The sequence below is a fragment of the Homo sapiens genome, chromosome 8, assembly GCF_000001405.40.
Source record: "Homo sapiens chromosome 8, GRCh38.p14 Primary Assembly".
NCBI classification, from domain to species: Eukaryota; Metazoa; Chordata; class Mammalia; order Primates; family Hominidae; genus Homo; species Homo sapiens.
The window spans coordinates 100,427,685-100,443,467 of record NC_000008.11 but is presented as its reverse complement, the minus strand read 5'-3'; the positions used below and the strand labels follow the sequence as shown (position 1 = coordinate 100,443,467).

At 46.0% G+C, this 15,783-nt stretch overlaps 2 long non-coding RNA genes across 2 annotated transcripts in view, besides 7 other annotated features; one reads left to right on the top strand and one right to left on the bottom strand.

The window, feature by feature from the left end:
* Nucleotides 1–425: part of an enhancer, noted in NCBI's record as "NANOG-H3K27ac hESC enhancer chr8:101455271-101456130 (GRCh37/hg19 assembly coordinates)", that runs on past the window's edge. NCBI's record gives its function as "activates a minimal SCP1, AML or CMV promoter by ChIP-STARR-seq in naive H9 embryonic stem cells {active_cell/tissue: H9 hESC(naive)}" and the evidence as "EXISTENCE:reporter gene assay evidence [ECO:0000049][PMID:30033119]".
* The window catches only part of LOC105375670 (uncharacterized), a 26,841-nt gene extending 14,434 nt beyond the window's left edge, over nt 1–12,407 (bottom strand). Inside the window, exon 1 of the long non-coding RNA XR_928452.4 lies at nt 12,272–12,407. This is a non-coding gene — a long non-coding RNA (uncharacterized LOC105375670). The remainder of the gene's footprint in view (nt 1–12,271) is intronic.
* Nucleotides 298–347: an enhancer, noted in NCBI's record as "active region_27701". NCBI's record gives its function as "activates an Ori minimal core promoter by ATAC-STARR-seq in GM12878 lymphoblastoid cells {active_cell/tissue: GM12878}" and the evidence as "EXISTENCE:reporter gene assay evidence [ECO:0000049][PMID:35858748]".
* Nucleotides 728–777: an enhancer, noted in NCBI's record as "active region_27700". NCBI's record gives its function as "activates an Ori minimal core promoter by ATAC-STARR-seq in GM12878 lymphoblastoid cells {active_cell/tissue: GM12878}" and the evidence as "EXISTENCE:reporter gene assay evidence [ECO:0000049][PMID:35858748]".
* Nucleotides 4,705–4,754: an enhancer, noted in NCBI's record as "active region_27699". NCBI's record gives its function as "activates an Ori minimal core promoter by ATAC-STARR-seq in GM12878 lymphoblastoid cells {active_cell/tissue: GM12878}" and the evidence as "EXISTENCE:reporter gene assay evidence [ECO:0000049][PMID:35858748]".
* Nucleotides 4,815–4,864: an enhancer, noted in NCBI's record as "active region_27698". NCBI's record gives its function as "activates an Ori minimal core promoter by ATAC-STARR-seq in GM12878 lymphoblastoid cells {active_cell/tissue: GM12878}" and the evidence as "EXISTENCE:reporter gene assay evidence [ECO:0000049][PMID:35858748]".
* Nucleotides 4,875–5,124: an enhancer, noted in NCBI's record as "active region_27697". NCBI's record gives its function as "activates an Ori minimal core promoter by ATAC-STARR-seq in GM12878 lymphoblastoid cells {active_cell/tissue: GM12878}" and the evidence as "EXISTENCE:reporter gene assay evidence [ECO:0000049][PMID:35858748]".
* Nucleotides 5,505–5,574: an enhancer, noted in NCBI's record as "active region_27696". NCBI's record gives its function as "activates an Ori minimal core promoter by ATAC-STARR-seq in GM12878 lymphoblastoid cells {active_cell/tissue: GM12878}" and the evidence as "EXISTENCE:reporter gene assay evidence [ECO:0000049][PMID:35858748]".
* LOC124901990 (uncharacterized) lies at nt 12,332–15,783 on the top strand. The gene is made up of 2 exons (XR_007061027.1): nt 12,332–12,574; nt 14,100–15,783. It is a non-coding gene; the product is annotated as an uncharacterized LOC124901990 (long non-coding RNA).

The following is a 15,783-nucleotide window of genomic DNA, read 5'->3' as shown; positions in this document are numbered from 1 at the left end:
ATTAGAGAAGGAGATATTTCTCCACTTAAAACTCGCCCCCAAAAGCTGACTTGCCTTCTGTGGTTCACAATGTCTCCAGGAGAGAAAAAATTCAGCCCTCACAGCTTCAGGTTGAGCACACACCCAGCCCACTATTTCCGTAACAATGCAGCCAACCTCTGACTAATCCTCAACTTACAAATGATTCACACATACAAATGAGCTCTGAGCATCCTCACCGCCTCCACCACCACCGAAGTTCTCCCGAACAACTCTCTGCCACTGCCAGAGCCACTAGCTCCCTATCCCTTGTCTCACGTCCTCCTCCCCACCCTTCTCAGGGCTCAGAGGAGCTATCGGAGACAGCCTCCCCAGCCCCTCTCAGCAAGAGGCACTGATGCTGAAAGGCAGTAAAGTTTTCAGAACCATGGCCTTGCAATCAGGCAGGCCATGAATCGTGTCTGAATTCCTTCACTTATTGGCTACATGGCGCCAGACAAGTTCATTAATTTCTCTAACCCTTGTTTTTCTCATCTGTAAAATGGGAAGACAACCATACTAATCCCTTGGGGAATTGTGAGGATTGAATAACATAAGACATATAAAGCATGTAGCATATAGAAATTGCCTTAATAAGAAGTAGTTATTATTCTCATCCAAAAACATTATTAATGCTCAAAGACTCAGCTCCACTAGGAGGCAATGGTACTCCCAGCCCACCATGAGCAGCCCCAGACTTGTACCCAGTGATCTGCTCCTGCTGTCTCATACCCGATCCCTTTGCTCACTCTCTCAAGCAAGTTCCCAGAACATGCCATCTTCCTTCCTGCCCTCATACCCTTCTTCCTTTTATTTTTTTTAATTTTTTTGAGATGGAGTCTCGCTCTGTCACCCAGGCTGGAGTGCAGTGGTGCAATCTCGGCTCACTGCAACCTCTGCCTCCTGGGTTCAAGTGATTCTCTTGCCTCAGCCTCCCAGGTAGCTGGGATTACAGGTTGTTAGAAATACCAAAATTGTTAGAAATAGATAATCGGTGCAATTTTGGTATTTCTAACACAGGTGCCCACCACCATGCCTGGCTACTTTTTGTATTGTTAGTAGAGACGGGGTTTCACCATGTTGGCCAGGCTGGTCTCCAACTCCTGACCTCAGGTGACCCGCCCACCTCAGCCTCCCAAAGTCCTGGGTATTACAGGCATGAGCCACCATGCCTGGCCCCTTCTTCCCTTTTGTATGGCTAAATTCTCATCCTTTAGGTCTCAGCTCAGATGTCATTCCTCAGGGAAGCCTTGCAGAGCCCTCTTCCCACCAGACCTAATTAGATTCCCCCTTACTGTTGTTAGATGCTGTCCATCTTTGAAGGGCCGTCTACAATTTTGGTTGTACCATTATAAATTTAACCATTGTTACATGTCTGTTTCCCCTTCAGACCATAACTTCCATGAGTGTAGGGACTGTATTAACCATGATATCCTTATCACCTAGGAATTGGCTTGGCACATGGTGTGAATAAATGAGTGAGAGAGAGAGAAGGAAGGGACGAAGGAAAGAAGGAAGGAAGGAGTAGGGAGGGAGAGAAGGAAAGAGGGAAGGAAGGGAGGAAGAGAGGAAGGAAGGAAGGAAGGAAGTTAGTTCTTGGGTACATATGAACCATCCAAATCATACTATTCTATTTAGACCCCTGCCATGCTGGCTCAGCTCAGAGTTCTAGGTTTCTGTAACAACTTGCCTACATAGCTTTGAGTCTGTTACTGGATCTCAGCCAGCTTTGTGGAGCCCAACACCATACCAAGCTCTTCCAGACCTTTCCTTAGAGGATTAATTGCTGCTTCCAAACCCACGAGACAGTGCCTGAGATCTTACTGGGCAAAACAAAACTTTTTTGATTTGTGCCCCAGACACCTGCCTGCCTTCGTTTATTTCCTCCCACCTGGATTCTAACTATTGTGCCCAATCCCACGGATTAGCCACCTGGCCTTGGTGGTTGTCCAGATGTCAAGGAAGTTCTGTGCTCTGGAGATGTTAGACTCACCCCAGACCCCAGCTAGTGAAGCCTTAGGTCTCCCCTCTACCGCCATGTGACTGAAGCCCAGTAGGCCTCACTCCCTTGGTTCTGGACACCTGGGAATGCACAGCTCGGGGTCACCACTAGCACATCTAGGATAGTCTAGGAGCCTAACTCAGTGTAGCCCCCCAGATCCATTACAACAATTTCTCATGTAATACTGTAGCAATGTGATGACTTTTTAAAATAACCCATTTGAGGCCGGGAGCGGTGGTTCATGCCTGTAATCCCAGCACTTTGGGAGACCAAGGCGGGCAGATCACCTGAGGTCGGGAGTTCAAGACCAGCCTGGTCAACATGGTGAAACCCCGTCTCTACTAAAAATACAGAAAATTAGCTGGGTGTGGTGGCATGCACCTGTACTTCCAGCTACTCAGGAGGCTGACACAGGAGAATCGCTTGAACCCAGGAGGCGGAGGTTGCAGTGAGCCGAGATCGTGCCATTGCACTCCAGCCTGGGTGACAAGAGCAAAACTCAGTCTCAAAAAAAAAAAAAAAAAAAAAAAAGACAGGACAAGAAAAAGAAATAAAGAAAAGAAAACCCATTTGAAAAATATCAGTTTTTCATGAAGTTTCTTACTTGCTTCAGGCCTACTTACCACAACTATGTTAAACTAATCAACACACCACCACCCTCAGCCTCACCTCCACCCTCAACACACACGTACTTCAGTCTCACTCCGCCTTTGCTAATTACCACATACAACTTTGTTTCTGTGGGAAAATGCATGCCCAGATTCAATCAACCAATCTAAATGACAGTCTTTGGAGCCTCAATCCTCAGTAAATGCAGGGTGGGCTGCCTGGCTGTCCACTAGGCCATAGCCTTTCTAAAGTTAGGAAGGAGAGAATTTGAAGGAGGGATGTAGTTCAAGTCCCACTTTAAAGTAATGGGACTGGTTTAGGCATGTGCTTGGGGAAATCCATCACTCACCAGGTGGCCTTCCTTTCTGTTTCCCATCTTTTACCTCCAAGTTTTTGTTCACACAGATTCTCCTGAATGGGATGCCTGCTCTCTCGACCTCCACTTGGTTAGATTTGGTCCATCCTTCTCAACCTGCCCTTGTAGGTTCCTGAGACTTCTCCAGACTGAGCCTACCTGCCCTCTTATGAACTCTTTGGGGACTTAACACATGGCATGTCCCGCTTGCTCTAGAATTGCCTCATTTCTGTTTCCCCAATCATATTATAAGCTCCTTGAGGGCAATGGCTGTGTCTGATGCATCTCCACAGGGGTGAGCTCACATCGGTTCTCATAAATCCTTGATCTTATGAGATTGGAACTGAAGTCCTGGACATCTCCCATTCTCTCCCCACCCCCAGCTCTCTATCATCACTGGGACCAGCCCGGACCACTCTAGTGTCCTATATGTCAACACAAGGAGTGGTTGTTTCTATCCACCAAAGGTTTCTGCTTATGATGGGGAACCACATGCTTTCTAGGAAGGAAGAGCATCTTCTCATTCAGCAAACTCAGCTGTTGGGTCGTGTGGGGTGATGGGTAGAGAGGAGAATCAGAGAAACTAAGAGAAGGCAGAGTTACTCTCTGCAAGAGAAGCCCAAGGAGATAACCCGCTAAAAGAACCTTATACAGCAGAAGAAGCTGGAAAGAAGAGGGAGTTAGAAGGACAGCCTGTGTGGCTACAAGTTCATGAAGAGAGAAGAGGAGGACAGGGAAGCTGAGAACAAGGGGGAGTGATGGAGCAGACATTGTCAGGGGGTGAGACTTTAGGGTAAAAAGACATGTTTAAAGACAAGTTTAAAGAAGATCTGGGCGTGGTGGCTCACAATTGTAATCTCAACACTTTGGAAGGCTGAGGTGGGAGGATTGCTTGAGCCAAGGAGTTCGAGACCAGCCTGGGCAGGATCTCAAAACTCTGTCTTTCTTTACAAAAAAAAAAAAAAAAAAAAAAAGCCTTGTGTGTATGATGTACTATATGCCCCTCCTCACCTCCCTTAGAAATCCTCAGTAAAAACCTACATTTTTCCTTGATGTTTTCTGAATCAGCTGCATGGAGTTTTCAGTTCATTGTTTCAATAAGGCCACAGGTGCAGTAGTTCTCATGGTGGGTGTGGAGTGAGTGTGCACAGCCCCCAAGGAAGCCCGGCTCGGGTATAAATGGGTAATGTGTACATTTGTTTGTTTAGAAGGTGCCAGAGTCCTTCTTTATTGGTGTAAAGATTAGATAAGGAAAATACAATTTATGAAAATGAAAAAAAAAGTTACCCTGAGTCCTACCAGGTTAACACCATTTTTTCCCTATTTTTTCAAATCCTGATTGAACCTTTGAGGAAGGTATTCTTTATTTGGTTGGTTGGTTGGTTGGGTATTTGGCACAGGGTCTTGCTCCATTGCCCAGGCTGGAGTGCAGTGGCACGATCATGGCTTACTGCAGCCTTGACCTCCCAATGCTCAGGAGACCCTCCCACCTCAGCCTCCCAAGTAGGTGGAACTATAGGCATATGACACAACACCCAGTCAATGTTTGTATTTTTTGTAAAGATGGGGTTTTGTTATGTTGCCTAGGCTCGTCTCGAACTCCTGGGCCCAAGGAATCCTCCCGCCTCAGCCTCCCAAAGTGCTGGGATTACAGGCATAAGCCACTGCGTCTATCTGAAGGTGTTCTTCAGCTGGGACCTGGAGAACTTCTGAGACATGAGAGAATCCTGGTCTTTGACAACCTATGTTGTACCTATGGACAGTCTGCTGCTGCTTACTTATGGCTCAACTAAGACCAAAAAAAAAAAAAAAAAAAATCCAGCAGTTCTGAAGAATGCTTTCTTGTCCCTTCTGGGGATGATCAAGGGGTCAGGGAGCTCTCTGCCTTCGTGGGAGAGTGTTCTTCCAGCAGCCACACCCTGCAAGCTACACAGCATGCTCATACTTATAATTTAGTTCAAGAAACTGGAGCTCCAAGCCAAGAGCAACAGCTTGTGATTTGTGGGTGTTAAATGCGCCAGAAAGCGGTCAGCATGTAGGCGACAGATGGGAGGGGAAGGTATTCCTTAGCTGTGGTGGAGGAAGAAGCCTGAGCGCCTTTTCCATTTTGGAACACGTGGCTTTTCTCTGCTGAGTATGACTGGCCACCCTGGGGTGGCCCTGACCAGGAAAGTCTGAGTCTGCAGCCTCTGAGCCTGAAGGTCAGGCGTGGTTACTTTAAAAATAAACTCTTGTGACTATAACCCTGGCTCAGCGCGTGCAGTTGTGGCCTTGGACTGAAGACACTGGCCACAGCTATGATTTGCATTCACCAAAAATAGTCATTTCAGCATCTGAGAGTGAAATGGGGAAGGAAGAGCCAAGTTCAGTTTCTTCCTCTTCTCTGCTGCTTTTCTCCATGGGACTAAGCAGATCAACTCAGTCAGCTCTCTTCCCTCTTGCTTCAGTCACCCTGCTCAGGATTAGACACCTTCCTTCAGCAAAGGCGTGCTGAGGACCATTTATCCTCCAGGCACTGGAGATTTAACAGTGAACACAACAGACGTGGGTCCTGCCCTCCAGGTCCTTAAGGTCTTACTGGGCATATGTTCATTATGTGGCAGCCATAACTAACTACCACAAACTGGGTGGCTTCGAACACCAGAAATTCTTTTTCTCACTGTGTTGGAGGCCAGAAGTCTGAAGTTAGGTGTCAGCAGGGTCATGCTCCTCATGAAGGCTCTGGGTGGGGGGTCCTTCCTGGCCTTGCTGCTGCTGTCAACCTCGGCCTTCCTTGGCTTATTGCTGCCTCATCCCAGTCTTTGCCTCTGTCTTCACATGGCTTCTGCCCTGTGTGTCTAGGTTTCTGTGTCCACATCTTTCTTTTCTTCTCCTTCTTCTTCTTCTTCTTTTTTTTTTTTTTTTTGAGACAGAGTCTCTCTCTGTCACCCAGGTTGGAGTACAGTGGAGTGATCTTGGCTCACTGCAACCTCTGCCTCCTGGGTCAAGCGATTCTCCTGCCTCAGCCTCCCACGTAGCTGGGATTATAGGTGCCCGCCACCTCGCCTGGCTAATTGTTGAATTTTTTAGTAGAGACGGGGTTTCACCATGTTGGCCAGGCTGATTTCAAACTCCTGGCCTCAAGTGATCCACCTGCCTCAGCCTCCCAAAGTGCTGGGATTATAGGCGTGAGCCACTGCCGCCTGTCCAGATCTTTCTCTTCTTCTGAGTACACCAGTCATATTGGATTTAGGGCCCACCCTAATTCAGTATGATCTCATCTTAACTATTACATCTGCAAAGACTTCATTTCCTAAAAAGGTCCCATTCTGAGCTTCCAGGTGAACATGAGTTTGAGGGGGAGGGAGGGACACTGTTCAACCTGGTACAGGGTGTCAAATGGGAAATAAACAAATACGTAGACATGGGGCAGGATTATATGGCAAGTATTAATATTAAGCAGGTGGCTGGATGTGGTGGCTCACGCCTATAATCCCAGCACTTTGGGAGGCCGAGGCGGGCAGATCACTTGAGGTCAGGAGTTTGAGATCAGCCTGGCCAACATAGTGAAACCTCATCTCTACTAAAAATACAAAAATTAGCCAGGCCTGGTGGTGCACGCCTGTAATCCCAGCTACTAGGGAGGCTGAGGCAGGAGAATTGCTTGGACCCAGGAGGCTGAGGTTGCAGTAAGCCAAGATTGCACCACTGCACTCCAGCCCAGGTGACAAAGCAAGACTCCCTCTCAAAAAAAAAAAAATTAACCGGTTGTTTTCTGTACATTTTTGTTTCTATCTTCCTTTTCACTGGTACACCAAGTCAACATACACCAATCGGAAGCAGACTCCCCTCAGTGTCGCAGGAAGATTCTGGAATGCATGCAGCCTGCAGAGACTGTTTTCCTCTCTCAGAGACCAGAGAAGGGCAGCCAGGCCTGAAGACAGGAGAGAGTGGGAAGACAGTGTGGCAACAAGAACAGGGGAGGCAGGGGAGGAGGAAGGAGGTACAACCTGGAACCTGGAGGAAACACATGCCTAAAGGTTTCCCCTTTCTCACCCCATTGTCTGCCCCCAGGCAATGAGCAGTTGGATGCAGCATCTTTGTAACTCTCTCTCTTTCCCTGCTTTGCTCCCCATTTCTCCCGCTCACTGGATCACACTCCCCAATAGAGGACTTGACTTCACATTTTTGTGTTAGATTCTGCCTTGGGGTAAGACCCAGGCTAAGACAGACACTTCTAGTTGTGTGACTTTAGGAAAATGCCTAATTTCTCTAAACCTAAATGTTCTCATCTCCAAAGTGGTGATGCACAGGAGCTATCACTGTGGTAAGCAGAATAATGGCCCCCTAAAGATGTTCACATTCTAATCCCTGGAACTTGTAAATATGTTAGGTACCATGGCGAAGGGAAATTAAAATTGCAGATGAAATTAAGGATGTTAATCTGATCTGAAAATAGAAAGATTAATCTGAATAATCCAGGTGGGCCCAATGTAACCAAAGAGTCCTTAAGAGTGGAAGCAGGAGGCAGGCAGAGATGCGATGTTGCTGGCTTGGAAGATGGAGGAGGACACCGTGAACCAGGGAACAGGGCCGCCTCTAGAAGCTGGAAAGGGCACAAAAATGGATTCTCCCCTAGAGAGCCTTCAGCCCTGCTGACACCCTAATTTTAGCCCAGTGAGACCTGTGTCAGGCTTCTACATTCAGAACTGTAGTAACATATTTGTGTTATTTTAAGCTACTGCATTGTAATTGTTATAGCAGCAAATAGAGAACTAATATACTTACCTCATGGGCTACTGTGACAATCTGATGAGATAATATCTGTAAAGTACTTAGCTCAAGCCCTGGCACATGGGAGATGGGTGGTGATTGCTGTTGCTGTTCGGTAGTAAATAACCAGAGAGTGCCTGGCTGACTTCTTACTGCAGTCACCTGAGTCCCACCCCTGGCGATTCAGGAGCCTGGGCAAGGGAAGGAAACCTGTAGCCTATAGGACTTACACTTGGCCCTGACATACAGCCAGGTGTGACCCTGGAGCCACACCCTGGGGCCCCAAATCATAACCTTGTGGCCACCGGCACCATCCCATCCTCTGGCCCCTTGGTACCACTGTCCTTGCCCCATCTCAGGCTGCCCCAGCCACCTGAAAAGCATGCCAGGACCTGAAATAGCAGCCATACTCGTTGGTCTGCAAAATGCTTTTTTCTGCCAGTTTGATATTTTTGTCACTGTGGATCCTCATGTTCTGTATTTAAAATATGAAGACACTTATTCAGGTATAATCAATGCACCAAGCAGGCTATGTTCTCCAGGTGGGGGCCCTGGACAGCAGCAGCAGCATCCTCCGGAACTTATTAGAAATGTTCCTGCTCCCGCCAATCCCAGACCTATTGAATCCAAAACTCTAAGGGTGGGGCCCAGCCATCTGCTTTTTAACAAGGCCTCCAGGTGTACAGCCAAATTTGAGAACCACTGTGCCACTACACAGGGCATTGGACCAGATGTCAAATGCAGGTGGCTTGGCACCTCTCACCAGGGCATAAGTTTAGAATCCTGTCTATTCTTACCACCCTCTGGGGTCAGTCACACAGGTTATAAGGCTTATTAATTAATTCAGCAAATATTGAGTGCCTACTGTATGCCAGACACTGAAACAAAAAGTGGAGTACAGTGGGTAACAAGCCAGTTCGGGGCCTGACCTCATAGAGCTAACAGAGAAGAAGACAGACATTCAATAAATCATTGCCTACTAATACCTTACAAGATATGCTTTACAGGGTTTTAAAAATCAGTGCTTCTCAGTGCTTAATTTGCATACAAATCCCCTGGGATCTTGTTTGAATGCAGGCTCTGATTCAGTAGGTCTGCGGCAGGCCTGAGAGTCTAATATGTCTTTTGAAGAAGCTCTCAAATGAGGCTGCTGGCCTGAGGGCCACACTTTTGAGTAGCAAAGCTTTAAACCTCTTGAGGCGATTTCATACCCATTATCCTATTCTAGCCTACAATTTCTCTGATGGGAAAAAGTGACAGGAATCGCCATTACTTTTCTTTCCTCTAGAAAAACTAGGAGAGTCAGGAACAATTATCCTCCTTTCAGGTGAGAAAACCATGTCCTGGCGCTCCGAGTGTTACATCGAGGCTGGGCCCTGGGACCCCAGGAGCTCAGTGCACACCGCCTGCATTACCAGGAGGTTCAGGCAGCCGAGACAAAGGAGAGAGGTGGCTCCCTGATTAACTTCTGCATTCGAGTTTTATCATAGAGCCACAGAGCTCTCTCCCTGAGCCATCCCTGATGTTGGGGAGACAACTGCTTGGTTCTCCCTCTGGTCCAGGACTTTGATAAGAAAATAGACGTGGATTTGCAATGCCTGTGAGTCAAGTGAGTTCTTTGGGCTGAATGATAAAAAAGGCGCATTCCCCACCTCCCTGAAGGGAAGAAAATCACATAGGATGATGGCAGCCCCTGTCATTTCCCCCAACCCCATAAAAATAAAGGCTTCCCAGTCCCCTACAATGAAGGGAAAATAGGAAGCAGGCTTTTCTTGGCTTGTTTCCAGCCAGGGCAGCTGGAATCTATTGGACCCATTCAAACTGTCACTCTCCCTGAGATAGGCTGGCTGGGTAAACACTTCCATTTCATTTAAGGAGTCTACTTCCCCTCTTGAACCTCCCACCTCACCCAGGGCCACCCTTCCGCTCTCACACCCCAGCTATGTTTCTTGTCTACACTAAGCTCTCAGGGTTTGTGAAGTGGATTTGTATGATTCCAAGTGATTTCAAGAATTCGTTTGGAGGCTCCACTCCACATCAGCAAACATATTAAAAAGCATTCGGTGCTGGACACAGTGGTTCATACCTTGTAATCCCAGCACTTTGGGTTGAGGCTGGAGGATTGCTTGAGGCCAGGAATTTGAGACCGGCCTGGGCAATATAGCCAGACCCCACCTCTTAAAAATATTCTTTTTAAAAAAAACCACTAGTTGGGCATAGTGGTATGAGCTTGTAGTTTCAGTTACTCAGGAGGCTGAGGTGAGAGGCTGAGGCAAGAGGATCATCTGAGCCCAGGAGTTAGAGGCTGCAGTGAGCTATGATTGTGCCACTGCACTCCAGCCTGTGAAACAGAGTGAGACCCTGTCTCAAAAAAAACCCAACCAACCAACCAACAAACAAAAAAACCCCACACATCTTATGTATTAAGTATTTGGCCAATGTGAGCAAGTTTTATTTGCTAGCATTTTGACTGTAAAAAAAATGATGCTTTTATAATTCTACTTTTAAAATAATTCGCCTACCAGGAATACATTCAATCTGTGATTGGCTGTGCTTTCTCAACCATCAGTATGCAAGCCAGAAAATCTTTTCAAAGAAAGAAAAGCAAGCCTTATTTTTTTAAGCATAATGAAGTTTTATGAATTCCCAATTTATTCACGAGATCAGCATGTAATTTTTGTAGGCATTTAATCCAGCCTTTAATTTCAGTTTTGCAGTCCTTTTTCTACTTTGGAGTTCCTTACTATTTTTTAGGGGAGGGGGTCTTAAGCATCTTGGTTAGGCCCTTGATGGTACTTAATAGCTAAAATGGCCTTCAGTCAGGGAGGGTGCAGCAGGTGAGGATCTAGGCAATGGTAGATGCCACTCGCCAGGGGAAACCACTCCCCAGTTCTAAGAGTCTTCTCTGCACTTCGCTTTTTTCTTGCATTTTCTTACCTCCAGGGATCCAGTTTCAGCCAAGAATTTGGTTGCCATGGTGACGGAGAACACTAGGCAGAAACGTCAGGTTCCGGGCTTTGCTTAAATGGACTAAATTTTAATTACAGAAAGCGTGGTGAGCAGCAGGCAAGGAGGGTGGACTTCCCGCATGCCGTGATCTGGATTGAAAAAGGCCACAGAGAGAGAGAGGGTATGGCAAGAAAAGTGGCAGGGTGAAGGGTCTGGGGGCCCAGGCAGCTATGTGAAGGTTACATACACAGAGGGTAGTCCTGTAGGCCTGGGGTCAGAGACGGGCTTTCAGATCTGGCTCTCCTGCTCCTCATCGTGTGATCCTGAGCAATAACTTGACATCTCTGTGCCTTCCTTCCATTCGTATAACAGGATAATCACAATAACGCCTGCCTCCTACAGCTGCTGTAAGGATTACATGAGCTACTGTGTTTAGCATAGTAGTTGGCTCATATTAGATGATTCAATATTATTGTATTCATATATGTATGTATTGATTTATGTTTATTGAATTCAGTCAAAATAATAACTATTATTATTGAAAGCAAACTTCACAGGTCCAAAGAAAGTATTCGAGTCACTCTCAGTGTCTCTGCCCACATAGAGTATGACGTGATTTCAGTCCTAAGGGAAAGGAAAATACTTTCTGTCCAGTGCCTCCAGTGTGTGTTAGGACCCTTAGGCACCCATCTTTCTTATCTGCTCACATGTACAGCCAATAGCCTACAATCGCAGAGAGAGTATTTCTTCTGAGAAAAGTTAAAGATGAAAATATCAGTCTGCATTTGTAAGCCACTCAAGAAACATCAAGCCGGCTGAACCTGCTGAATGTAGCAAAGGTAGTGAGCAGTGGTTAAAACAAATATATGGGGTCAGTGATTCTCAAACTGAAATCCCCCCAGAGTCTTCCACTGGATGCTCAAATCCATCTGGGAGAGGGGAGGAAGGGAAGAAGGATTCAAGAGAGGTGTTATGGGCCAGGCTTGGGGGTGAGCAGCATTACTTCCATCCTCACTCTGTCGGCCAGCCGCAGGCACACACCACCTCTGAGTGTAAGGGACTGAGAAACTGGTCAACTGCATAGGCAGGAGGAAAAGCAGCCAGCCGGGGCCACACGGGTGATTTTAACGCACAGCTAAGTTCAAATACTCTTCTCCTGGAGTAAAAGGGAAAGATAATTGAGGTTTCAAAAGTTGAAGAAAGAGACAGAAGGAAGCAAACAAAATAACATCTTGCAGTGGAAGAGAAGCTTATACGGTTTACAGAGCACTATCACATACACTCATGTAAATGTTTCAGATAAGGTATCACAGGCTCCAACTTGCCTTCGAAGTCTTTCTACAGCACCCTGGCCAGACCTCCCCTTCCCCACCCAGCACATTCTAGTCTACTACGTGCCTGCTTATCTCAATTAGACTGCAGGCAAGGCTTCAACTTCTTCATCCTTGAATCCCAAGTGCCTGGCAAGGTGCTTGGCACAGAGTAGTGAGAGCTGGTTGAATTTGGTCTAGGAGATTAATGGAAAAGAAGAAAATAAGCAGAGAAGACCCCCGGTGGTTAAGAGCCCTGATTTTGCCACTTAGTACCTTGGTGACCTTGGACAGGTGACTTTAGCCTCTCAGTGTCTTGGTTTCCTTGTTTGTAAATAGAGTCTATGATTGCATCGACCTCAGATGGTTATTGCGAGGGTTAAATGAGCTAAGAGATCCAAATGTGCTTAGAAGAGCATCTGACTCACAGTAAGTCCCTGGTAAGTGTTGTTGCTATTTTTGTTAGTAAGATGATAAGAAGTCCTACCACTGAAAGGATGTGCGGGTAGAAATGAGCAATTGCAACTAGAAGAGCCTGTGTGCCCACAATCAAGGGTAAGGAGGAGTGTCATGGAGCAGGTAAGTTTCCCCACATACCATGGCCAAGAGACGTCAAAGCAAGTAAACATCAGAGGGTGACATTTGACTTTTTGCAGAGCAAATGGAACAATCACTGTGCTAGCCTTGTACAGGCTGGGGCAGGAAATGGGTTAGCCAGAGTGAACGGTTGAAAAGGAGTCCATGTGCCAAGCCAAGGCTGGGGTTTTGAAGGGAGAATAAAGATGTATGTGTTGGTGGGGGTGGGGGAGTGTGATTTGGTGGGGAGGAAGAAAGGTAGAAGAGAGAAGAAATTTCTTGGGGCTTCTGAGATCCACCTGATAATATTTGACACTGTCTTCAGGCAACAGGTAATTGCTTTATTACATTAAAATTTCCAAAATTCAAAAGATGTATTGCAACAGCTGCCTGATAAGATTTCAAAGATTCAGAGGAGACAAAGATATATTAGAAAAATACCCTAAAGCCATGCATGCTAAGACTAAGTGGGAAATAATGCAATAGATGTCAGCTCAGTTATTCAAGGTTTACGTTGATTTCTCCTGAAAATGAAACACCACCTCTTATGACATCAAGATTAGGTGTCTAATTTGTGGATAACCTAGACTCCACTGGCTCTTTCTCCACTCATTAGCCCTTCTTAGATGAAAAACATTATGAGATGCCACTTATGCAAACCTGATAGAAGTAAAGAAAACCATTTTAGCCTGCCCTTCAGAAGAGCCCGGGTGATGGGTGGGCTGTGGCTCAAAGGAACTCAAGGATCCTTTCTGTTGTTAAGACCCTAGGGTTCTAATCCTGCCCTCTATATGGCGATGGTTCTGTTGTCCCACCATCAGGAAAACAGGCAAAAGGTGCTTTCTCAGCTTCCTTTGAGACTAAATCTGAACCCTTTGTGAGGTATGTGATGAACTGGGAGAACAGCCCATAATTAAAGAACGTTCTACCAATTCCTCCTGCCTCCTGGTCAACACCTGTAATTCTGTAGTCAGATAATCAACCTTGTTGTTGAGGCTTTGACTGCCATTACAGTGCAAAATCCTGAAGATGTCTTCTGGTGTTTGCCTCTTAAGATTGAAAGTCATTTTAGAAATCTAGGATGTGAGGGCCGGGTGCAGTGGCTCATGCCTGTAATCCCAGCACTTTGGGAGAGTGAGGCAGGCAGATCACTTGAGGTCAGGTGTTCAAGACCAGCCTGGCCAACATGGTGAAACCCCATCTCTACCAAAAATATAAAAATAAAATAAAAATTAGCTAGTCATGGTGGCATGTGCCTGTAGTCCCAGCTACTTGGGAGGCTGAGGAAGGAGAATCACTTGAATCTGAGAGGAAGAGGTTACAGTGAGCCGAGATCCCACCACTGCACTGCAGCCCGGGCAACAGAGTGAGAGTCCATCTCAAAAAAAAAAAAAAAATCTAGGATTTGAGGGCAGCTAAGAACATAGGGGGGAAGGGGTGAGGTGGGTACCTTGAAGGGTGTGAAAGAGAGGCCAGGGTTGCCCAAGTCCAACCTCATGCCTCTGCTCTGTTTAAACTCCTTCTGCAGCTCTCTACTGCCCTGAGAATGACATCCCCACTGTTCACCATGGCCTTAAATCCCCTGCGAATTCCACCTCATCCTCTGCCACTTCCCGTCACTGCTCTGAAGATGCCCTGATCTTGTTTCAGTCCCTTGGATGTACCCAGCTCTTCTCCATCTTTGCATGTGTCATAGCCTCTTCCTGGAAAACCCTTCCTGCTGCTCATCCCAGAACTGACTCTCCATGTATTTACTCTTATTTTGAGAGAAGGGGGCATTTCCACCACCAGAAGGGAACTTGCTGTCTTGGTAGCCATTGTCCCCTGACACCTGGCACATCTACTCTATACAGTCACCATTCAAGTGGATGTTGAATGAGTACACTTGTTTCACAGTTTGGTTGGGTAAGCCCCAAAGCTTGGTTCCCGGTAGGATCAGGCTTTATGAGTGGGCTGAGTTTCTATAAAAGTCTCCCTACCAGTTTCCAATCTTGGTGAAACTATGTCTGTGGGCACAAATGAGAAAACTTGCCATTCGTATCACCGGTTACCCAGCTGTGGACCATGTGGGCCAGGTCCACAGAAGAGCCTTATCCTACTTTCACTTTTTATTTCCTGCAGTCATGGGGACAGTGGGGCACCACCTTTTCAGAAACTCTAAGAAAGAGTGTTCATGAAAGTGGCCAGAGAGTTTTACAATTTTGCCATTAGGAATGATTAAATATCCATGACTAATGCCTCTGTGATTAAATTGTATTGGGAGTTCCAAAGTTTGCTTTTTGTGCTTTAAGAGTAAAATGAGAAGAAAGCAACTGAACTTCTCATTTAGAAAATATTTCTTCTCTCCTTGGCCAGGTGCAGCAGCTCACACCTGTAATCCCAGCTCTTTGGGAGGCCAGGCAGTGGGACCACTTGATGCCAGGAGTTCAAGAGCAGCCTGGCCAACATGGTGAAAACCCATCTCTACTAAAAATAAAAAAATTAGCCAGACATGGTGGCATGCACCTGTAGTCCCAGCTACTCGGGAGGCTGAGGAAGGAGAATTGCTTGAACCTGGGAGGTGGAGGTTGCAGTGAGCCAAGATCATGCCACTGCACTCCAGCCTGGACAATAGAGCGAGACTCTATCTCAAAAAAAAAAAAAAAGTAAAAAAAAAAGAACATTTCTTCTCTCCTGGACCCAGAAGCACCTTCCAGACATGAATCCAGGAAGTAGGAATGAGAGCTGCCACTGCAGGGTAGAAAATGCAAGTAAACCTTATACGAGATGTAACACCCAGGCAGGGTGAGCCTCAGGAAATGGGAACGCTCCAATGGCACGGCTCATCTGGACTGGGCCACTCTGAGTGCCAGAATTTGTATAACGTTTTAGATTTGCTTAGATATAGGAATATACAAGAAGGAGAATATATAAGAGGATTTAGCAGTGGTTATTTCTGAGAAACAGGGAGTACATGTAGTTTTGGGTTTTTTTCTTAGCTGGATTTTTTTAAGTTTCTAAAATGAACATGATTTACTTTTGGAATTTTTTAAAAAGCATTGAATATTTAAAATTTTTAAAATAATAGGCACTCATTAAGCAAAAAAATTATAAAACAGTGAAGTTACAAAGGAAGAAGAAAACTGTTCAAATCTACTATTTATGTTTGGGGTTTTTAAAAATTGTATTTTTTAAAAAAATAAACTGGTTTGTCTTATTTAGCATAGCTATAA